Genomic DNA, 23,278 nt, shown 5'->3' on the forward strand with positions numbered 1-23,278 from the left:
GCAATGGCACGGTCTTGGCTCACTGCCACCTCCGCCTCCTGGGTTCAAGCGATTCTCCTGCCTCAGCCTCCCTAGTAGCTGGGACTACAGGTGTGTGCCACCACCACGCCTGGCTAGTTTTTTTGTAGTTTTAGTAGAGATGGGGTTTTACCATATTGGCCAGGCTGGTCTCAAACTCCTGACCTTGTGACCTGCCCGCCTCAGCCTCCCAAAGTGTTGGGATTACAGGCGTAAGCCACCGCACCTGGCCAATGCCTGGAATTTACTTCAAAATAATATAAGGGTCAGGAAAAATGGGTGGGAACGTAGATGAAACAAAGTTGGTCATGATGTGTTGAAACTCACTATTAGATATTATTTTCTCTACTTATAAATTTCTCCAAACTTTTCTTTGTAAAAGAAAAATAAATAAATAAATAAATATTTCAGGTTGATTTTTTTTTTTTTTTTTTTTTTTGAGACGGAGTTTCACTCTTGTTGCCCAGGCTGGAGTGCAATGGTGGAATCTCGGCTCACCACAACCTCCGCCTCCTGGGTTCACGCGATTCTCCTGCCTCACCCTCCCTAGTAGCTGGGATTACAGGCATGTGCCACCATGCCCGGCTAATTTTGTATTTTTAGTAGAGACAGGATTTCTTCATGTTGGTCGGGCTGGTCTCAAACTCCCAACCTCAGGTGATCCGTCCGCCTTGGCCTCCCAAAGTGCTGGGATTACAGGCATGAGCCATTCTGCCCGGCCATTCAGCTTGGATTTTTAAACCCACAGGAATGTAAGCTCCATAAGGGTAGGCATTTTGTCTTCTTTTGTTCATTGATATGTCTATTTTGTTGAATTTTTATTTTATTTATTTATTTTTTTGAGATGGAGCCTCACTCTGTTGTCCATGCTGGAGTGCAGTGGCATGATCTCGGCTCACTGTAACCTCCACTTCCTGGGTTCAAGTGATTCTCCTGCCTCAGCCTCCCAAGTAGCTGGGATTACAGGCACCCACCACCATGCCCGGCTAATTTTTTGTATTTTTAGTAGAGACGGGGTCTCACCATGTTGGCCAGGCTGGTCTCAAACTCCTGTCCTCAGGTGATCCACCCGATTCGGCCTCCCAAAGTGCTGGGATAACAGGCGTGAGCTACTGTACCGGGCATTTTTTTTCTTTTTGAGATGGAGTCTTGCTCTGTCGCCAGGCTGGAGTGCAATGGCGCAGTCTTGGCTCACTGCAACTTCCACCTCCTGGGTTCAAGCGATTCTCCTGCCTCAGCCTCCCAAGTAGCTGGGATTACAGGCACCTGCCACCATACCCGGCTAATTTTTTGTATTTTTAGTAGAGACGGGGTTTCACTGTGTTAGCCAGGATGTTCTGGATCTCCTTACTTTGTGATCCACCCGCCTCAGCCTCCCAAAGTGCTGGGATTACAGGCGTGAGCCACCGTGCCCGGCCCAACATTGTTTTAATCAATAAATACACACACACACACACACACACACACACACACACACACACGTATTTTTTTGTTTTAAACGGAGTCTCGCTCTTGTTACCCAGGCTGGAGTGCAATGGTGTCATCTTGGACCACTGCAACCTCTGCCTCCTGGGTTCAAGTGATTCTCCTGTCTCAGCCTCCAGAGTAGCTGGGATTACAGGCGTCGCCACCATGCCTGGCTAATTTTGTATTTTTAGTAGAAACGAGGTTTCACTATGTTGGTCAGGCTGGTCTCAAACTCCTGACCTCAAGCAATCCACCCACCTCGGCCTTCCAAAGTGCTGGGGTTATAGGCATGAGCCACCACACCTGGCCTATATACATATATATTTTTTTCTTTTGAGACGGAGTCTCTGTCATCCAGGCTGGAGTGCAGTGGCACGATCTCAGCTCACTGCAACCTCTGTCTCCTGAATTCAAGCGATTCTCCTGCCTCAGCCTCCAGAGTAGCTAGGATTATAGCCACACCCAGCTAATTTTTGTATTTTTAGTAGAGACAGGATTTCATCATGTTGGCCAGGCTGGTCTTGAACTCCTGACCTCAGGTGATCTCCCCACCTCGGCCTCCCAAAGTGCTGGGATTACAAGCGTGAGCCACTGCGCCTGGCCATGTTTTAGTAAATATTTTAAAAATAGATGAGTGATTTCTCCTTTTCAGTTTGCAGTTCCAGCATTAGACCCTGGAAACTACTGATCTGAAGACAGAAACCAACCTTTATGCACCTGAATGTTCCCACCCCCGGGGGCCGATACTTGCAATGCCACAGACAATTTTTGAACTTGACTGCCCCACAGTCCACCAGCGAGCTTGGGAACCTCTGATTTGTTAATTAATTGATAGGGCTCTGGTTTAGGAGTCAGAGATGATAACTTTAATTCAAAGTGAGCCATTAATTAGCTGGGAATCGTGGGCAGGTCACACCCCTCTTCAGTCCTCAATTAAGACCTGCAAATATTTCTCTGTGTGCTTATGTGCATATTTCCCATTACAAATCCTCAGAGGGGCTTTTGAACCCCAAAAGTTGGGGACCTCTGCACTAGATGGTCTTTAAAGTTCATTCCTTTAACAAATATTTATTGAGGGCCTACTATGTGCCAAGCCTTGGGGCTGAACAAAGCCTGAGACACAGACAAGTTCCCTGAGATCTTGTGGAGGTTACATTCCTATGGAGGGAAACAACCAACCACCATGGGAACAAACAATTACAGATGATGGTAAGTCACAGGAAGGAAATGAAACAGGTGATAGGGAAGTGATGGGGTGATGGGGGGAGGCCGGCCCTCCAGGTGTTCAGGAAGGGTCTTTTTTCAGAGGTGGTATTATGGGTTTGAACTGTGTTCCCCAAAAAGACATGTTCTGTTTTCTTTCTTTCCTTTCTCCCTTTTTTCCGTCTTTCTTTCCTTCCTTCCTTCCCTCCTTCCTTCCTTCCTTCTTTCTTTCAGACAGAGTCTCGCTCTGTCATCCAGGCTGGAGAGCAGTGGCGCGATCTTGGCTCACTGCAACCTCCGCCTCCCAAGTTCAAGCGATTCTCCTGCCTCAGACTCCCGAGTAGCTGAGATTACAGGTGCCAGCCACCATGTCTGGCTTATTTTTGTAGTTTTAGTAGAGACGAGGTTTCACCATGTTGGTCAGTCTGGTTTTGAACTCCTGGCCTCAAGTGATCCACCTGCCTTGGCCTCCCAAAGTGCTGCGAATACAGGTGTGAGCCACTGGGAGGCCAGAACTTCAAGTGATCTGCCTGCCTCAGCCTCCCGAAATGCTGGGATTACAGGTGTGAGTCACTGCGCCTGGCCTCATTCCTATGTCTCTAATGCCTGGAACAATGTCTGACACATAGTAGATACTCAATCTTTTTTTTTTTTTTTTCAAAGACAGGGTCTTGCTATGTTGCCCAGGCAACTCAACATTTACTCAACAATTAAGTATCCACTATGTGGTTGTTTCCCTCCACGGGAATGTAACCTCCACAAGATCTCAGGGAACTTGTCTGTGTCTCAGGCTTTGTTGGAACCCGAGGGCTTGACACATAGTAGACCCTCAGTAAATATTTGTTAAAGGAATGAACTTTAACACTTAGTAACACTTAGTATCACTTAACACTTAGTATCACTTTCTAACACTTGGAATGTGACCCTATTTGGAAATAGGGCCTTTCCAGATGTAAAGTTGAGATGTGATCACACTAGGAAAGGGTGTCTTTTTTTTATTTTTATTTTTTTGAGAGAGGCTCTTGTCCTGTCACCCAGGCTAGTGTGCAGTGGTGTGATGACAGCTCACTACTGGAGGCTGCGAAGGCCCCGAGCCCTGGGAGCCCATGCTATTTATTGGTAATCCAACAGAGAAACAGGTGGTGAGAATGTGGAGGTCAAGAGGGCACGTTGCATTAAGCCCATGATTTACAGCTGTGATGGTTTAGCATTTGCTCCGCTACTTAAGATAATGGAGAGCAGGTTCTTTTAACACAAGATACAATTGATCCTGGGTGAGCAAGGAGCAAGGAGCCAGCAAGTCTAGACACATTCCAGAGCCACGAGCCCTGGATTCTATCCAAGCCACGAGGGGTTTTATGCCCTGGGCTTAGATTATGGTGCATCAGGGCAGCCTTCCACCCTTTAGCACAGAGCTTGGTGTTCCAAAGGCCACAAGGGGTTTTAGACCTTGGACCCTGGACATGTTCCAAGACTCTTTTACATTGTGTCAGACATACAAGCCCTGCCTCAGCTTCTCCCAACACTCAGCTTTTCCCAACACACTACAGCCTCGACCTCTGGAGCTCAAGTGATCCTCCCATCTCAGCCTCCCAAGGAGCTGGGAATACAGGCTTGTACCATAATGCCCGGCTAATTTTTGTATTTTTAGTAGAAATGGGGTCTCACTATGTTGGCCAGGCTGGTCTCCAACTCCTGGCCTCTAGTGATCTGCCCACCTCGGCCTCCCAAAGTGCTGGGATTACAGGCGTGAGCCACCATGCCTGGCCAGAAAGGGTGTCTTTTTAAGAGAGGACACACACAGACATGCACACAGGAAAGAAGACGGTGCAACAGGGTAGAGATTGGGGTGATGCAGCTGCGAGCTAAGGAACGCCAGTGAAGGAGCCCCCCGCCACCACATACACCCACAAGCTATGAGGAGGGAAGGATTCTGCCCAGAGCTTCAGAGGGAGCACTGCTTTGCTGACACCTTCCTCTCAGATTTCTAGATGCCAGAACTGTGAGACAATACATTTCTTTCTTTTCTTTTTTTCTTTCCTTCCTTCCCTCCCTTCCTTCCTCTCTCTCTCTTTTTTTTGAGACTCAGTTTCACTCTTGTTGCCTAGGTTGGAGTGCAATGGCACGATCTCAGCTCACCACAACCTCCACCTCCCTGGTTCAAGTGATTCTCCTGCATCAGCCTCCTGAGTAACTGGATTACAGGCATGTGCCACCACACCTGGCTAATTTTTTTGTGTGTTTTTAGTAGAGATGGGGTTTCTCCATGTTGGTCAGGCTGGTCTTGAACTCCCAACCTCAGGTGATCCTCCTGCCTCAGCCTCCCAAAGTGCTGGGATTACAAGCGTGAGCGACCGCGCCCGGCCTCCTTCTTTCTTTATGAGACTGGGTCTCGCTCTGTTACCCAGGCTGGGGTGCAGTGGTGCAATCATAGCTTACTGCAGCCTTGACCTCCCAGGCCCAAGGAATTCTTGGACCTCAGCCTCCGGAGTAGCTGGGACCACAGGCGCGTGCCACCACACCCAGCTAATCTGTAAATTTTTTGTAGAAACAAGGTCTCCTTATGTTGCCCCCGTTGGTGAGAATACATTTCTATTGTTTAAACTACCCAGGTTGTGGTTATGGCAGCTTTAGCAACGAACACAGGGGGCCGGGCACGGTGGCTCATGCCTGTAATCCTAGCACTTTGGGAGGCCAAGTCGGGCGGATTACTTAAGGTCAGGAGTTCGAGAGCAGCCTGGCCAACACTGCAAAACCCCGCCTCTACTAAAAATACAAAAATTAGCTGGATGTGGTATAACCTGGCTACTCCAGAGGCTGAGGTATGAGACGCACTTGATTCCGGGAGGCGGAAGTTGCAGTGAGCTGAGATCACACCACTGCACTCCAGCCTAGGCGACAGAAAAAAAAAAAAACACCCATAAAAATAGAAGAAAAAAGAAAGATAAAAAAGTAAAGTAACACAGGTGTCATTTGAAACTGAGGCCTGAATGATGAAAAAAAGGCACATCGTATGAAGATTTAGAGGGAAGAAAGTTCCATGCAAGGTCAGGAAGAGAAAAAGCAATGGCTGGAGGGTACGAGTCCAGGGCGGTGAGATAGAAGGGACTGGAAAGCTAGGCAGGGGCAGTTCTTGCAGGACTTGGCAGAGGAGGGGACAGAACTGGATTTAATCAGCTTGGAGGCGGTTGTCCCTTGAGCGACAGAAACAGCTGTTAAGAACGTCACCCAGAGCGTTAGAGGGCAGGAATCTAGGATGTATTAGCTGCAGCACATAATAATGACAACGTGAAATGACCGTGCCCTCTCTGCGCTGCGCCGCCCGGCCCCCGACCTTTTTGGATGGTCGATGTCAGCGCCAGCCTTCCGGGGCGCTGGCCTGGGCTCAAGTCAGGCAATGACCAGGGGCCGGTGAGCTTTCATTTCACCTCCCCCAAATCTCCTTTCCCCAAACTCTAGACACCCCCAAAACACACAATCTAAGTCAAATAATCTCTGCAAATGCAACCTGCAGACAAGTCCCCCAACTCTTCCTGGAAGAGACAGATTCTGGAGGCGCAGAGGCACTGCCAAGGGGGCCGCAACAGACCCCGAAAGACCTTGCGAGCCTGCCATGTCCCGGTCCGGAACGCCGCACGCGGGGCGGGGCGGGGCACATGCGCACGCGCGGCCCCGCCTCCCAGGCGTGGGGCGGGGCGGGCGCCGGGGCGGGGCCGTGACGTCAGTTGCGCGCGTGGCTCTGGCTGCGCAGGAACAGCTGGTGCCTCCGAGGGCGGTCGGCGAGCGCGCGGGCGTGGGGCGCTGGGGGGCCGGTCGGGCAGCGCTGCGGGAGCAGCCGCCGGCACCGCCGCCTTGCACCATCGCATCATGTCCGGGCAGCTGGAGCGTTGCGAGCGCGAATGGCACGAGCTGGAGGGAGAATTTCAAGAACTGCAGGTAGGGCCAGGCCACCTGGTCCCGCAACTCTGCTGCCCGCGGTGCAGCGCCTTGCCCTTCCTGAGCCCCCCGGCCCGGGCGGTGGGGACAGTCAGGGCCTAGGGAGTGCCCCGGAGAGGCCCTGGGGGCGGACGGGAGGCATGGACCAGCCCCCTCCCATCACCCGGCGCTTCAGCTCTTCGTCCACGTGGGGCGCCGGGTCGCAGCCCCCTCTTCCGCCGCCCTCCCACTGGCTCTCTGCTCCACGCACCCCCTTCGCTGCAGAAAGTTGGTCTGTGGCCTCTGAGGCAAGTTCCAGGCGTGTTCATCTGTGGGGGTGGTTCAAAGAGAACAGCCCAGCCCCCACCTCTGCAGGGTCTCCCCAGATCTCACCCCGCCCCCTCCCATCTGCTTTTGGTAGCTCAGCTCCCACCCCGTGCTCTGGCGGGGCAGCACTATCCTGCAGCTCTGTTTTGGGAGGTGTACTTAAGAGCTGTTCACCTTGAACCTCTAGGTTGTGCTTGGGGATTAGGGACCCCTATTTCCTGTCTTTGGGGGCTCTGACGCTGCTGCAGGCTGATTTTGGCGTGGAGAGCATCTGTCAGTTCGGACAGCTGAGTAGCCTCACCCAGTGATAGGGGAAACTCCCAGCTCTATCCTTCTGGCCCGGAGCCTTACACGGGGTGGAGTGAGGGCGGGTGTAAGGCGGGGGTCCCCTGAGAGAATGGCATTGCTGCTGGGTGTGGGGAGCGGTCCTGGCAGCAGTTGTTCCTGCTAAGAGGTTCAGAGAGGCCCCAGCTACCTACCGTGTTGACTAGAGACGCCTCAGGAAACCTTGGGGTTGACCAAGAGGGACTCGGTGACTATTTTTGAAGACAGGGCTGTTCCCTCTCCAGTCACGGGATTGTTTTTCGGGGGGTTGGCTTTGCCTGAAATTACATTGCACACTATCACCCCAGTCCTCTCATTTGGAGCAGTGACATTGTCCCTGTCCATGTACCTCTTGTCTGCAGTTCAGTTGGCCTCCTACAGTGTGCAGAGGGGAGAGGAGGTTGCCAAGGGTGTCTCTGATGGGTCTTTCTAGACACGTGGTTGTAGATTCTGATCAATAGACAGAGGGTTGCTGGAGAGCCGGGGCAGGAATGGGGGTGCCCTTTCAGGCATGAATAGAGGGGAAGGGACCTAGACACATCTCGACCTGTCCAGCATGTGTAGGTTGATGCCTTCTCTTCTAGGGCCTGGGTCCCATCCGGTTCTCAGGGGACTGTTTTGGCTCCACTCCCACGGAGAAGACTCAGCCACTTCTTGTTTTGTTTTGTTTTGTTTTGTTTTTGTGACAGAGTCTCACTGTCGCCCAGGCTGGAGTGCAGTGGCGTGATCTCGGCTTACTACAGCCTCCGCCTCCCGGGTTCGAGCCATTCTCTGCCTCAGCCTCCTGAGTAGCTGGAATTACGGGTGTGCGCCACCGTGCCCGGCTAATTTTTTTGTGTTTTAGTAGAGATAGGGTTTCACTATGTTGGCCAGGCTTCTGACCTCAGGTGATTCACCCACCTCGGCCTCCCAAAGTGCTGAGATTACAGGCATGAGCCACTGTGCCTGGCCCTCAGCCACTTCTTTTTTTTTTTTTTTTTTTTTTTGAGATAGAGTCTTGCTCTGTCACCAGACTTGAGTGCAGTGGCACGATCGTGGCTCACTGCAACCTCCGCCTCCCGGATTCAAGCGATTCTCCTGCCTCAGTCTCCCAAGTAGCAGAGATTATAGGTGCGCGCCACCATGCCCAGCTAATTTTTGTATTTTTAGTAGAGACAGGGTTTCACCATGTTGGCCAGGATGGTCTCAATCTCTTGACCTCGTGATCTGCCTGCCTCGGCCTCCCAAAGTGCTGGGATTACAGTAGTGAGCCACCGTGCCTGGTCCTCAGCCACTTCTTAATGCTTTGTCTTACTGGGCTCGGAGGTCATGGTCAGCTGTGGAACCAAGTGGGTGTTAGGGTTGGGAATGGGAGAAGAGAAGAGGTTTGCTGTGTGAAGCTTGTGTTGTTCATAATTCCTGTCCCTTGCTTTGCCTTAGACAAGGAGGAGGAGGGGGAAGAGTCTTAACACTTCAGAGTGAGGCCCAGCGCGGCGGCTCATGCCTGTAATTCCAGAACTTTGGGAGACCGAGGCGGGTGGATCACAAGGTTTGGAGTTTGAGACCAGCCTGGCCAACACAGTGAGACCCTGTCTCTACTAAAAATGCAAAATTAGCTGGGTGTGGTGGCATGTACCTATAATCCCAGATCCTCGAGTGGCTGAGGCAGGAATTGCTTGAAACTGGGAGGGGGAGGTTGCAGTGAGACAAGACTGTGCCATTGCACTCCAGCCTGGGCAACAGAGCAAGACTCCGTCTCAAAAACAAAACAAAACAAAAAACAGCAACAACACTTAAGAGCTGTGCAATTAATGCAATTAACAGCAATTAGATAGCAAGTCTTGGCAGGCAGAGGTTGCAAAGGAGTTGTTTGACTCTTTCTTAGGACTTGGTCCTCAGATGCTGAGGTATGTTAGGGACAAAGGGATTGGGAATCAATTCTTGATTTTGTTCCCTGGTGCACAGCAAGGGTTGTAGAAGAAGGTCTGAGTGAGTGGAAACTGATGCCTCCTGCTCGGTTCATGATGGGGGAACTAGAAGGGACTGCATCCTACTTTGGGGAAGAGGGAGCCTGCTTGCTGCAGGCTTTGGTGGTCACCTGCTGGGTCAGGGGCCAGTCAGGGATGGCTCCCGGTGTCAAGATCATAGATCGGAGCAGAAACTGCCATCTACATCTTCAATTCACAGATGAGGAAACTGAAGCTTGGGCATGCTGATTCCCTGGACGGGGGCCACACAGCTAGTTAGTGGTAAAGTTGGGGCCATAATTTAGTTCTCTAAATATTGGTAGGCCCCTCTCTGCCTTCTCACGTTCCCCTTCATGTTAGATGTGAGAGCTCTGAACTCTCAAGATGCAAGGCTCTGGGACTCTGTATATGGTAAGTAGGATGTCCATTGCGTATGTGCTGGGCAGTTTCGGATACGAGATATTTGTTGGGAGCTCGGTGCATTGGCTCATACCTGTAATCTCAGCACTTTGGGAGGACAAGTTGGGAGGACCGCTCCCAGCAGGATTGCCCAGCAGTTTGAGACCAGCCTGGGAAACATAGGGAAACCCCTGTCTCTACAAACAGTAAAAAAAAAAAATTGCTGGGTGTGGTGGTGCATGGTTGTGGTCCCAGCTACTAGGGAGGCTGGAGTAGGAGGGCTGTTTGAGCCCCAGAGGTCAAGGCTGCAGTGAGCCATGATTGCACCACTGTACTCTAGCCTGGGTGACAGAGTTAGACCCTCTCTCTCAAAAAAAAAAAAAAAGAGATTTGTTGGGGAACAAGCAGGTAACAGCAGGTAGGTAGGTGGGCACACTGAACTAGAAAGCTTAACAATAGGAAGGATTTTTTTTCTACTAGAAAATCCTGGTCTATTTTAATTTTCCTACATCTTCCTTAGAATCCGGGTTGAGGGTTTCATATTTGTATCTCATTGATTCTGGGGTGATGTGTAACAATGTGTAATGTCTCTGTGTCTTACCTCTTTTTCTCTTTTTTTTTCTTTCTTTTTTTTTTTTTTTGAGACACAGTCTTGCTCTGTCGCCCAAACTAGAGTACAGTGGCACAATCTTGGCTCACTGCAACCTTTGCCTCCCGGGTTAAAGCTATTCTCCTGCCTCAGCCTCCTGAGTAGCTGGGATTACAGGCACCCGCCACCGTGCCCGGCTAATTTTTATATTTTTAGCAGAGACAGGGTTTCACCATCTTGGCCAGTCTGGTCTAGAACTCCTGACCTCGTGATCCATCTGCCTTGGCCTCCCAAAGTGCTGGGATTACAGGCGTGAGCCACTGCACCTGGCTTTCCTTTTTTGAATGAAGGAAAGAAAGAGCAAACCTAATTCTCAGACCCCAGAAGATTTGAAAGATCTTTGGAATTTCCCTCCTCCCCACCCCAAGAAAACCCAATGTAATCTCTGGGACTGAGGAGAGGAAAGGATCAGTTTTCTTTGGACTGTGATTTGCATGTGTCAGGGCCTTCCTGAACCCTGGGGCACAGTTGAGTCTCCATGAGGACTTAGTTTTTGGGTGGCTGGGGTTTCAGGCATGCTGGTGAGTTGAGTGCTAGTCTGAGACCAGTGTGCTCCTGGTCTCCTGGCCTGTGGCGTGACCGCAGAAGGTCACTTACAGACACAAGGGCAAGTAATTTAATGAGCATTTCCTGCCTTGCATCACTGGAAACCTGATCTCGTTCCTCCCAGCCAAGGAAGAAGGTGGCCCGTAGCAGCTTTTCCCTAAGTCTGACCTCACAGTGATGCAAGGGCCTTGAAGGCCATGGTAAAGATTTTGGCTTTTACTGCTAATGACATGTACATCCGTCTGGCTGCTGTGTATAGAATAGACATCAGGGAGACAGGCTCGAAGCAAGAAGATCAGCATTATTTCATTAATAACCCTATGAAATTGATCCTAGAATCTCTGTTTTACAGAGGTTAAGTCACTTATCCAAGGTCACATGGCCTGTCAGTGCAGGAGCCAGGATTCGAACCCAGGCTGTTGAACACCAGTGTCTGTGCTCTTAACTACTGCCCTAGGCTCATCTGTGCCCTGAGTACTCCTGTTAGCTTTTGTTTCTCTTCTATCTTGGCTTGTGGGGCGTCTTTCTTTCTTTTTTATTTGAGACGGAGTCTCGCTCTGTTGCCCAGGCTGGAGTGCAGTGGCTCGATCTCAGCTCACCACAACCTCCGCCTTCCAGGTTCAAGCGATTCTCCTGCCTCAGCCTCCCGAGTAGCTGGGATTACAGATGTGTGCCACCACTCCTGGCTAATTTTTGTATTTTTAGTAGAGACAGGGTTTCACTATGTTGGCCAGGCTGGTCTCGAATTCCTGACCTTGTGATCCGCCTGCCTCAGCCTCCCAAAGTGCTGGGATTACAAGCGTGAGCTACCGCACCCAGCCGGGCATCTTTCTTTAGTAGCAGATTGTGCAGAAAAAGACACTGCACAGGGAATCAGTATTCTTGAGTTCAGGTCCTAGCTTTGCCATTGTCTAGTATCTGAATTTGGTGAGCCACCTCTCTCAGGTTGAGTTTCTTTATCTAAAAACAAAGGCTGACAATAATAATAATCATAACAACAACAATAACAATAATAGCTAACTGCGTGAAACACAGATTATCCCATTTAATCTAAATATCAACCCATGGCCTGGCGCAGTGGCCCATGCCTGTAATCCCAGCACTTTGGGAGGCTAAGGAGGGCAGAGCACTTTGAGCTTAGGTGTTCAAGACCAGCCTGGGCAACATGGTGAAACCCCATCACTATAAAACAAACAAACAAACAAAAAACAAAAAAAAACCTTAGCTGGGCATTGGTCGCTCGCTCCTGTAATCCCAGCTACTTGGGAGGCTGAGGCTGAAGAATCGCTTGAACCCAGAAGGCGGAGGTTGCAGTGAGCCAAGATCGTGCCAGGGTACTCCAGCCTGGGTGACAGAGTGAGATCCTGTCTCAAAAATAAATGAATGAGTGAATGAATGAATGACAACCCTGTTTTTTAGATGAGGAGATTGAAGCTAAGAGATGCTGAGTAACTTGAAAGTCATGGAGCCAGAATTCGAACCCATGCCTGCTGTATAACTCAGATACTAATACCGTGGGCTCCAAAAGTATCCTGAGACTCTTAGCTCTAGAAGAAAAGTTTTGAACTTGCTGGGTCCCTTTTCATTTATATAGTGCTTTCACACAATGCACTATCAGGACTCTTAGTTGCAAATGAAAAAAACCCAGTCTGACTGGTTTTAAGCCAAAAGAGGGTTTATTGAGTCAAGTCTAGTGGCAAATGGCTTCAGGCAAGGCTGGATCCAGGAGCTCAGGTGATGTCTGTGTCTGTGTGTGGATGTCTCTCTCTCTCTCCTCTGTGTCAGCATTATTCTCAGGCAGTCCCTCCCATGTTGTGGCAAAGATGGCCAGGTGGCCCTCAGCTGACATCTGTCAGCTTAGCAGCTCTGGCAGAAACAGAGCATCCTTTCCCCCTGTGGTTTCAGCAAGCGTCCCAGGGCTGACTCTCATTGGCCCAGCTTGGGTCATGTGACTATGCCTTACTTAACCAGTCACTGTGGCACTGATTGGCCAGGTCACGGTCACATATCTGCTCCTGAAGCCTAAAAGTGGGATCAGTGCCACCACACTACATGAAACGAGTTGGGGAGGGATGGTCCCATGAAGGAAAATCAAAAAGCTGGTAGTTTAAAAAAAAAAAACAGAGAGAGGGATGCTGGACAGGCACCTTTTGGGGGGCTAATAGAAATTGTTGGCTGGGTGTAGTGGCCTATGCCTGTAATCCCAACAGGAGGCTGAGGCAGGTAGATCGCTTGAGCCCAGGAGTTTGAGACCAGCCTGGGCAATGTAGTAAGACCCTGACTCTACAAAAAACCACAAAAATTAGCTAGGCATGGTGGCGTGCACCCATGGTCCCACCTACTTGGGAGGCTGAAGTGGGAGGATTACCTAAGTTCAGGAAGTGGAGGTTGCAGTAAGCTGAGATCCTGCCACTGCACCCCAGCCTGGGTGACAGAGTGAGACCCTGTCTCAAAAAATGTTTTTTTCTTCAAGGGAAACAGTGGCATCGATTGGACACTGCTTAAATTGCTAACGGGGGTAGTTTAAGGGGGTGGTTCACAGTTGCATGTTAGGCCACACTGCATTCTTTTTTTTTTGAGACGGAGTTTTGCTCTTGTTGTCCAGGCTGGAGTACAATGGCTCTGTCTCGGCTCACTGCAACCTCTGCCTCTCGGGTTCAAGTGATTCTCCTGCCTCAGCCTCCTGAGTAGCTGTAGCTAGGACTACAGGCACATGCCACCACACCTGGCTAATTTTTGTATTTTTAGTAGAGACAGGGTTTCACCATGTTGGCCAGCTGGTCTCGAACTCCTGACCTCAGGTGATCTGCCCACCTCGGCCTCCCAGAGTGCTGGGATTATAGGCATGAGCCACCTTGCCCGGCCCACACTACATTCTTGATGATGTCACATCTTTGTGACAGTGCCTAGCCTGCTGCATGCACCTCATCTCCTAGCTCTTTCACAGCTGATGACACCGAGGCACAGAGGGATTACATAACTCAGCTAATAAGTGGCAGGCTCTGGATCTGAACTCGGGCAACTTGATGGCAGCATCAAATCACTTAACCATTGTGTTTTCATGCCACCCAAATGCGTGCCTCCCACGCACAGACCCCCACTTACCGCTCCCGTAACATACCGTTCATGGATTCTGACACATGACTCAGAATCTGTCCCGCACAGGACGCATACACGTTAGGCGAAGTCATCCTTGGTGGTGTTTCTATGGTGATGAGTCCTGGTTAAGTATAGTCAGCGTCTGAAAGTCTATTTGAAGTTGATTTCTTAGAGCTATATAAAAGTAATCTCTTGTCCAGGCACAGTGGCTCATGCCTGTAATCCCAGCACCTTGGGAGGCCAAGATAGGCAGGTCATTTGAGCTCAGGAGTTTGAGACCAGCCTAGGCAACATGGCAAAACCCCTGTCTCTACAAAAAATACAAAAATTAGCCAGGCATGGTGGCACAGGCCTGTAGTTTCAGCTACTCGGGTGGTTGAGAGAGGAGGATCGCCTGAGCCCAGGGAGGTGAAGGCTGTGGTGAGCAGCCATGATTGTGTCACTGCACTCCAGACTGGGCGACAGAGTAAGACTGTGTCTCAAAAGAAAAAAAAAAGGAATCTCTTGAAAGTTTACCACCAGCAAGAGGCACAGCTCTAAGGCACCACACTTAAGTGGCGGTATGGCCCTATTGCAGTCTACTGGACTGCCCAGCGACTTCTGATGCTCCTGGGCCAGAACCATGTCTGTAAATGCCGTGAGATTCCTCTAGCAATTCCTGCAACACATGTTGACTCCCCAGTCCTGGATCTTCCGACAGCCAAGATGTGTTAAGGAGGTGTCTTCAGATGTTTCACATCTGTACTGGGAACAGGAGTCATTAACCTCATCTTCCCACTGGGGCAGAGCTTGGGTCTCAGAGGACAGCAGAGGTGGCAGAGATCCCTGAATCTTCCAAAGGAAACTTGCTTGTTTGTGTCTTCTACATGCGGAGGATGGTAATTAGACAAGTAGGGAAGATGCTCTGGGCATGACAGCTCACAGAGCTCATGTGAGCAGTTCTCCTTTTTGTTGTTGTTTTGTAAGAGAGGGTCTCACTTTGTCGCCCAGGCTGGAATGCAGTGGTCCCATCATGGATCACTGCAGCTTCAACTTCCTGGGTTCAAGTGATTCTCCCTCTTCAGCCTCCTGAGTATCTGGGACTACAGGCACACACCACCACACTTGGCTAAGTTTTGTAATTTTTGTAGAGATGGGGTTTTGTCATGTTGCCCAGGCTGGTCTTGAACTTCTGGCCTCAAGCATTCCTCCCATCTCAGCCTCCCAAAGTGCTGAGACTATAGGTATGAGTGCCTGGTCCTCCTTTTTTTTTTTCAACCAAGAGTTTCACTCTTGTTGCCCAGGCTGGAGTGCAGTGGTGCCATCTTGGCTCACTGCAACCTCCGCCTTCTGGTTTCAAGCAATTCTTCTGCCTCAGTCTCCCGAGTAGCTGGGATTGCAGGCAGGCACCACCACGCCCAGCTAATTTTTGTATTTTTAGTAGATGGGGTTTCACCATGTTGGCCAAGCTGGTCTTGAACTCCTAACCTCGTGATCCGCCCACTCCAGCCTCCCAAAGTGCTGGGATTACAGGCATAAGCCACTGCATTCAGCCCTGGCCCTCCTTTTTTTTTGAATGGAATCAGTTCTACTTTTTTTTTTTTTTTTTTTTTTGAGACAGCGTCTTGCTCTGTCGCCCAGGCTGGAGTGCAGTGGCTCAATCTTAGCTCATTGCAACCTCTGCCTCCCGGGTTCAAGCGATTTTCCTGCCTCAGCCTCCTGAGTAGCTGGGACTACAGGCATGTGCCACCATGCCCAGCTAATTTTTGTATTTTTAGTAGAGTTTCACCATGTTGGCCAGGATGGTCTCGATCTCTTGACCTTGTGATCCGCCCGCTTTGGCCTCTCAAAGTGCTGGGATTATAGGCGTGAGCCACCACACCTGGCCTTTTTTTTTTTTTTTTGAGATAGAGTCTCGCTCTGTTGCCCAGGCTGGAATACAGTGGCACGATCTCGGCTCACTGCAACCTCTGCCTCCCGGGTTCAAGCGATTCTTCTGCCTCAGCCCCCTGAGTAGTTGGTATTACAGGCGTGTGCTACCACAGCAGGCTAATTTTTTTATTTGTAGTAGATACGGGGTTTTACCATGTTGATCAGGCTAGTGTCGAACTCCTGACCTTGTGATCTGCTCACCTCAGCCTCCCACAGTGCTGGGATTAGAGGCGTAAGCCACTGTGCCCGGCCTCCATTCTACATTTTTATAAGTAATACATATTCACACAGTTAAAAATTCATGTAGCAGCCATGCATAGTAGTTTTTATAACACAACTAAAAACTGGCAACCTGAACGTCCGTGGGAATGGATCATTACACTGAGCACCCAGAGAGAGGTGAAGCAGGAGAGTGAATAAACTGAGCTACCTGTGTTAACATCCTGCAGAAAGTTGCAGAGGGGTATGTACAATGTGGCACTTGCAATAAAGGCAAAAACATTGAAAACAACACAGTATATTGCTTAATGATACATTGTATGTAGTCCAAGTATAAAGACTTGCAAAGGAGTGATAAAGACCACAGTTGGTGCTATCATGGAAATTCAGACAGGGCCCAAGCAAGAAGTCAATGGCTGTCTCAGGAAGGTCTCGCTGAAAATAAGGGGCTGTTTACAAAGGTGTGGGCAGTTTTTTAAATTTACTTTTTTTTTTTTTTTTTGAGATGGAGTTTCGCTCTTGTTGCCCAGGCTGGAGTGCAATGGCGCGATCTTGGCTCACTGCAACCTCCGCCTCCCGGGTTCAAGCAATTCTCTTGCCTCAGCCTCCCAAGTAGCTGAGATTACAGGCATGCACCTCCACACCCGGCTAATTTTGTATTTGTAGTAGAGACGGGGTTTCTCCATGTTAGTCAGGCTGGTCTCAAACTCCTGACCTCAGGTGATCCGCCTGCCTCGCCTCCCAAAGTGCTGGGATTACAGACATGAGCCACCGCGCCTGGCTTTTGTTTGTTTGTTTGTTTGTTTTGTTTTGTTTTAAGAGAGAGGGGGGTCTAACTCCATCGTTCAGGCTGAAGTGCAGTGGCGGTATCATAGCTCACTGCAGCCTTGAACTCCTAGGCTCAAGCTATCTTCCCACCTCAGCCTCCTGAGTAGCTGGGACTACAGGCATGTGCCACTGTGCTCAGCTAATGTTCTAATCTTCTGCAGAGACAGGGTCTTGCTGTGTTGCCCAGGCTCAGGTATGGGCAGTTTAATGGCTGGAGCTGGCCACAGCAGGGAGCTGTTACTAGTCCTGATCCTGAAAGGGGAGGAGTCACCAGAGCTTGGCACAAGCTTGTGCTGGCGGGGCAGGAGCTGCCAGTGAGGAGCTGTAGTGGATGAAGGGGGCAGCAGAACAGGGAGGAGGCAGGAGAAACAGATACCCCAGCCTCTCTCTTCTCCCGCCCTCCAGTCTTCTGGTGACTACCATTGACTAAACTCAACTGGAGGGCAGTTCCTAGGGATCAGCCTCCCAGGGCACAGAGAAAGCCAGGACTGATCTGGGGTGGGCATGGGTTGAGGAAATTACCACAATCTACCTCTTTGGCAGGGGCAGAGGATGGGAATACCATGTAGGAGGGATCCATGAGGCCATTCAACTCTGTGTGTACTATTCCTTCTTTTCTTTTGTTTTTCTTTTGAGACAAGGTCTCTGACACTCGGACTAGAGTGCGGGGGTGTGATCATGACCACGGCAGCCTTCACCTCCTGGCTCAAGTGATCCTCCTGTCTCAGTCTCGCAAGTAGCTGTGACTACAGGCACATACCACCATGCCAGTTATAATTAAATTTTTTTTTTGAGACATGGGATCTCACTGTGTTGTCCAGGCTGGTCTCAAGTGATCCTTTTTTTTTTTTTTTTTTTTTTTTTGAGATGGAGTCTTGCACTGTCACCCAGGCTGGAGTGCAGTGGCACGATCTCCACTCACTGCATCCTTCACCTCCTGGGTTCAAGTGATTCTCCTGCCTCAGCCTCCATAGTAGCTGGGATTACAGGCACCGGCCACCACACCCAGCTAATTTTTTGTATTTTTAGTAGAGACGGTTTCACTATGTTGGCCAGACTGGTCTTGAACTCCTGACTTCGTGATCCGCCCGCCTCAGCCTCTCAAAGTGCTGGGATTACAGGTGTGAGCAACTGTGCCCAGCCAGATAATTTTTATATTTTTGGTAGACACAGGGTTTCACCATGTTGGTCAGGCTGATCTCGAACTCCCGGCCTCAAGCAAGTGATCCACCCGCCTTGGCCTCCCAAAGTGCTGGGATTACAGCTGTGAGCCACTGCACCTGGCTGTACTATTTCTTAGGTTTATGGTGAGAAGATGGATGTTAATTAAATGATGTTATGTCTTTTTTTTTTCACATGCCTTAACTGTTTCATAATAAAATATGCAGGAGACCAAAAAATAATGCAACATACTAAAAGTTGTGTTTTTTTTTTTTTGAGATGGAGTCTCGCTCTGTCACCCAGGCTGGAATGCAGTCGCGCAATCTCGACTCATTGCAAGCTCTGCCTCCCAGGTTCACGCCATTCTCCTGCCTCAGCCTCTCGAGTAGCTGGGACTACAGGCGCCCGCCACCACACCCGGCTAAGTTTTTGTATTTTTAGTAGAGACGAGGTTTCACCACATTAGCCAGGATGGTCTCGATCTCCTGACTTTGTGATCCACCCGCCTTGGCCTCCCAAAGTGCTGGGATTACAGGTGTGAGCCACCGCGCCTGGCCAACATACTAAAAGTTTTATAAAGAGAAACAGTTCTATAGGCTCCATGTCAGTCATTTACGTGGTTAGGACCATGCAAATATCACTTACAGCAGAATCAAGTAGTGTACTATGATTGTATTTTTCTCTCTTGGATGAATAAGTGTCTTGGTATTTGATTCCTTACTGCCAATGTTTTCCTTATAATTACCCTTTTTCCCCTTTGTTCTGATTTGGGTATTCTATGAAGTGTGCTTTGTTTGTTTGTTTGGATTGGCTTTGAAGTAGGCAGCTGGGGAGCTGGGGTTTGCCTTGTGCTGCAGAATGGATTTTCTTCCACAACTGTCTATCAGTGCCCCCAGCACTCTAAGTTAAATTTTTAGAGCTAGGGATTCGATGGTGGGAGTCAATCATGTTTAATGTGCTGGTGGTCCCTGCACTGTCTGCAGAGAGCTGCCTCCCATTTTTGGGTGAGGGTCTCCCGTGTTCTAATCTACTGCTGCCAAGGTTGGAAATAAAAATAGCAGTTTGGCATCTTCTTTAAAAGTTAGACAGAAATTTACCATATGACCCAGCAATTCCATTCCTAGGTATCTACCCAAGAGAAATGAAAAGACAGGTCCACACAGACTTACATGACATCGGATCTTCATAGCAGCATTATTCACGATACAGTAACCAAAAAGTCAAAACAACCCAAACAACTGGTGTATCTGGGCCACATTTTTATTGCTGACTAGCAATAAAAGGAAACAAAACAGATCCATGCTACAAAAACATGATGCTAAGTCAAAAAAGCCAGATGCAAAAACCCCATGCTGTGTGATTCCATTTATATGAAATATGCAGAAAAGAACTATAGAGACAGGGCCAGGCATGGTGCCTCACGCCTGTAATCCCAGCACTCTGGGAGGCCAAGGAGGGCAGATCACCTGAGGTCAGGGGTTCGAGACCAGCCTGGCCAACATGGTGAAACCGCATCTCTACTATAAATACAAGAATTAGCCGGGTGTGGTGATGCGTACCTGTAGTCCCAGCTACTGAGGAGGCTGAGGCAGGAGAATGGCTTGAACCTGAGAGGCGGAGGTTGCAGTAAGCAGAGATCATGCCACTGCACTCCAGCCTGGGCAACAAGCGAGACTCTGTCTCAAAAAAAAAAAAACAAAAAAAAAACCACCTCTGGACAGAAAGGTGGTTAAAGGTTGCTGTGGGTTAGGAAGAAGGGGAGATGGAGAGTGACTGCGAAGAGACACCGGGGATCTTATTGGGTGATAGAAGGTTCTAACACGAGATGTGGTGATGGTTGTACAACCTGGTAAATGTATAAAAATCACTGAATTATATTATTAAAATGGGTGAATTGTATGGCATGTAAATTATATATCAATGAAGTTGTTAAAAATAATGCTTCGGCTGGGCGCAGTGGCTCACGCCTGTAATCCCAGCACTTTGGGAGGCCGATGCAGGTGGATCATGAGGTCAGGAGATCGAGACCATCCTGGCTAACATGGTGAAACCGCGTCTCTACTAAAAATAGAAAAAATTAGCCGGGCATGGTGGCAGGCACCTGTAGTCCCAGCTACTCGGGAGGCTGATGCAGGAGAAAGGCATGAACCTGGGAGGCGGAGCTTGCAGTGAGCCGAGATCGCGCTACTGCACTCCAGCCTGGGTGACAGAGCGAGACTCTGTCTCAAAAAAAAAAATAAAATAAAATAATAATAATAATGCTTCAGGCCAGGTGCAGGGGCTCATTCATGCCTATAATCCCAGCACTTGGGAAGGCCAAGGTAGGTGGATTGCCTGAGGTCAGGAGTTTGAGACCAACCTGACCAACATGGTGAAACTCTGTCTCTACTAAAAAAATACAAAAATTAGCCAGGCATGGAGGTACGTGCCTGTAATCCCAGCTACTTGGGAGGCTGAGGCAGGGAGAATTGCTTGAACCCAGGAGATGGAGGTTGCAGTGAACTGAGGTCTTGCCATTGCACTTCAGCCTGGGCAACAGAGTGGGACTCTGTCTCAAAAAAAAAAAAAAAAAAAAAAAAAAAAAGCTTCAGGCTGGGCACGGTGGCTCACGCCTGTAATCCCAGCACTTTGGGAGGCTAAGGCAGGATCAGCCTGGGCAACATGGCAAACACCCATCTCTACTACAAATACAAAAATTAGTCAGTTTCATAACCCGGTCTCAAAATAAATAGATACATACAAATAATTTTAAAATGCTTTAGTTTCTCCGTTTGGTAGAAAAACACCCAATGTGGGTGTTCAGAGATATGCATTTTTAGGGGTGCTGCTTAGTTCCTGGCTTGATGAAGGAATCATTCAAGCAGCCTCCAAGTCCCTGGTTTTTCACATCTTTAGGATGACATCCAGGGGCCATGGCTCATGCCTGTCATCCCAGCACTTTGGGAGGCCAAGGCAAGAGGATTGCTTGAACCCAGGAGTTTGAGACCAGCCTGGGCAGCATAATGAGACCCCGTCTCTGCAAAAAAATAAAAAATGAGCCAGGCATGGTCGTGCGTGCCCATGGTTCCAGCTTCTCGGGAGGCTGAGGCAGGAGGATCACTTGAGCTGGGGAAGTTGAGGCTGTGGTGAGCTGTGATTGCACCACTGCCCTTCCAGCCCGCATGACAGAGAGAGACCCTGTCTCAAAAAAAAAAAAAAAAAAAAAAAGACCGTGCCCTGGTTAAGAGATTCGTAACATTGGCCCGGTGCGGTGGCTCACGCTTGTAATCCCAGCACTTTGGGAGGCCGAGGCGGGCGGATCACGAGGTCAGGAGATAGAGACCATCCTGGCTAACACGGTGAAACCCTGTCTTTACTAAAAAATACAAAAAATTAGACAGGCGTGGTGGCAGGCGCCAGTAGTCCCAGCTACTCGGGAGGCTGAGGCAGGAGAATGGCGTGAACCCGGGAGGTGGAGCTGGCAGTGAGCCAAGATCGTGCCACTGCACTCCAGCCTGGGCGACAGAGCGACACTCCATCTCAAAAAAAAAAAAAAAAAAAGAGATTGGTAACAATGAGTCCAAGGTTCAGAGCTTCTTTTCTTAACTAAGTGTGGTTAACTTTGCTCAGAAGGAAAGTTCTGTTCTTTGCCATATTAATCTGATTTTTGACACTCACTTTTCTTTTTCCCCCTAAGACAGAGTCTCACTCTGTCGCCCAGGCTAGAGTGCAGTGGTGTGATCTCGGTTCACTGCGCCCTCTGCCTTCCGGGTTCAAGTGATTCTCCGGCCTCAGCCTCCCAAATAGCTGGGATTACAGGTGCCTGCCAGGACGCTTGGCGAATTTTTGTATTTTTAGTAGGGAATGGGTTTCACAGGCCGGGCACGGTGGCTCACGCCTGTAATGCCAGCACTTTGGGAGGCAGAGGTGGGCGGATCATGAGGTCAGGAGATCGAGACCATCCTGGCTAACACAGTGAAACCCTGCCTCTACTAAAAATACAAAAAATTAGCCGGGCATGGTGGTGGGCGCCTGTGGTCCCAGCTACTCGGGAGGCTGAGGCAGGAGAATGGCGTGAACTTGGGAGATGGAGCTTGCAGTGAGCCGAGATTACGCCACTGTACTCCAGCCTGGGCGACAGAGCGAGACTCCGTCTCAAAAAAAAAAAAAAAGAGAATGGGTTTCACCATGTTGGCCAGGCTTGTGTCAAACCCCTGACCTCAGATGATCCGCCCACCTCGGCCTCCCAAAGTGCTGGGATTACAGGCATGAGCCACCGCGCCCGGCCGACACTCACTTCTGAAATGGAAACACTCAGCCCCAACTGGGAAGGTAAAACAGAACAGCACAGAACGTGTTTACTTATGTAATTAGGAAGTCAGAAGGGTGCTACCTTCAGGTGTAAGCAGTTCCAGGAGCTCAGGTGCAATCATTAGGGCTCCGCTTTCATCTACCTCTCTGCCCTGTTTTCCCAAACTGGGTTCATTCTCAGGCTGGGTCCTCCAGAGACTGGCAAGACAGCCCTATGAGCTCTGGGTCCCCATCTTGCTACCTTCAGAACTAGGGAGAGAAGAGTTTCTCTTTCTCAGCAGTTCTCATAAATCCTCTTCTACTGAGTTTTGCTGGTTCCAGATGCCCATCCCTGAATTACCTGCTGGGTTGGGAGGCCGATGTTCTGACTGGCCAGGCCTGGGCCATGTGCTCTCTCCTGGAGCCTGTGGCCAGGCCTAACCCTGCTTCTAGCCACATTTCATGGACTGAGTGTGGCAGAGGGATGGGTACCGCAAAAAACTATGGGGATGTTAACCAGAAGGGGAATGGCTGCCTGATTGGCAAAAACAGCAGAAAGCCTCCATCCGGCCAGCTGGTTCCATTCGAGGCCACAGGGCCAAGGTTGCTTGGAGGCTTGCAGTGCCTCCGTTGGCTCACCCTCTGCTCCCGGAAAAAGCATCTCAAAGCACAGATCCAACTGAGGGCCTGCTGGAGACACCCTGATGTGCAAAGAGTAGCCAGGGACTCCAAGGGAAGACTGGGATTGTATCTCGTCCACCTGGCAGAAATGCCCCATGCACAGTGCATCAAGACAGCTGCATAGAAAACAGTATGGCAGTTCCTCAAAAAATTAAACATCGAATTACCATATGGTCCAGCAATTCCACTTCTGGGGTATATACCTAAAACAATTGAAAGCAGGTGGGATGTGGTGGCTCACACCTGTAATCCCAGCACTTTGGGAGGCTGAAGTGGGAGAATAGCGTCAGCCCAGGAGTTGGAGATCAGCCTGGGC

At 49.7% G+C, this 23,278-nt stretch overlaps 1 protein-coding gene across 1 annotated transcript in view, besides 5 other annotated features; it reads left to right on the forward strand.

Annotated features, from left to right (window-relative positions):
* Nucleotides 1,827-1,876: an enhancer, noted in NCBI's record as "active region_7181". NCBI's record gives its function as "activates an Ori minimal core promoter by ATAC-STARR-seq in GM12878 lymphoblastoid cells {active_cell/tissue: GM12878}" and the evidence as "EXISTENCE:reporter gene assay evidence [ECO:0000049][PMID:35858748]".
* Nucleotides 6,254-6,513: a silencer, noted in NCBI's record as "silent region_4984". NCBI's record gives its function as "represses an Ori minimal core promoter by ATAC-STARR-seq in GM12878 lymphoblastoid cells {active_cell/tissue: GM12878}" and the evidence as "EXISTENCE:reporter gene assay evidence [ECO:0000049][PMID:35858748]".
* The window catches only part of TMEM120B (transmembrane protein 120B), a 69,317-nt gene continuing 52,450 nt past the window's right edge, over nt 6,412-23,278 (forward strand). Inside the window, exon 1 of the mRNA NM_001080825.2 lies at nt 6,412-6,624. Coding sequence (NP_001074294.2) covers nt 6,556-6,624 — 69 coding nt within the window. The 5' untranslated portion in view covers nt 6,412-6,555. The remainder of the gene's footprint in view (nt 6,625-23,278) is intronic.
* Nucleotides 6,524-6,573: a silencer, noted in NCBI's record as "silent region_4985". NCBI's record gives its function as "represses an Ori minimal core promoter by ATAC-STARR-seq in GM12878 lymphoblastoid cells {active_cell/tissue: GM12878}" and the evidence as "EXISTENCE:reporter gene assay evidence [ECO:0000049][PMID:35858748]".
* Nucleotides 6,754-6,883: a silencer, noted in NCBI's record as "silent region_4986". NCBI's record gives its function as "represses an Ori minimal core promoter by ATAC-STARR-seq in GM12878 lymphoblastoid cells {active_cell/tissue: GM12878}" and the evidence as "EXISTENCE:reporter gene assay evidence [ECO:0000049][PMID:35858748]".
* Nucleotides 21,497-22,117: an enhancer, noted in NCBI's record as "H3K4me1 hESC enhancer chr12:122165743-122166363 (GRCh37/hg19 assembly coordinates)". NCBI's record gives its function as "activates a minimal SCP1, AML or CMV promoter by ChIP-STARR-seq in naive H9 embryonic stem cells {active_cell/tissue: H9 hESC(naive)}" and the evidence as "EXISTENCE:reporter gene assay evidence [ECO:0000049][PMID:30033119]".

The sequence above is a fragment of the Homo sapiens genome, chromosome 12, assembly GCF_000001405.40.
Source record: "Homo sapiens chromosome 12, GRCh38.p14 Primary Assembly".
Lineage (NCBI taxonomy): Eukaryota > Metazoa > Chordata > Mammalia > Primates > Hominidae > Homo > Homo sapiens.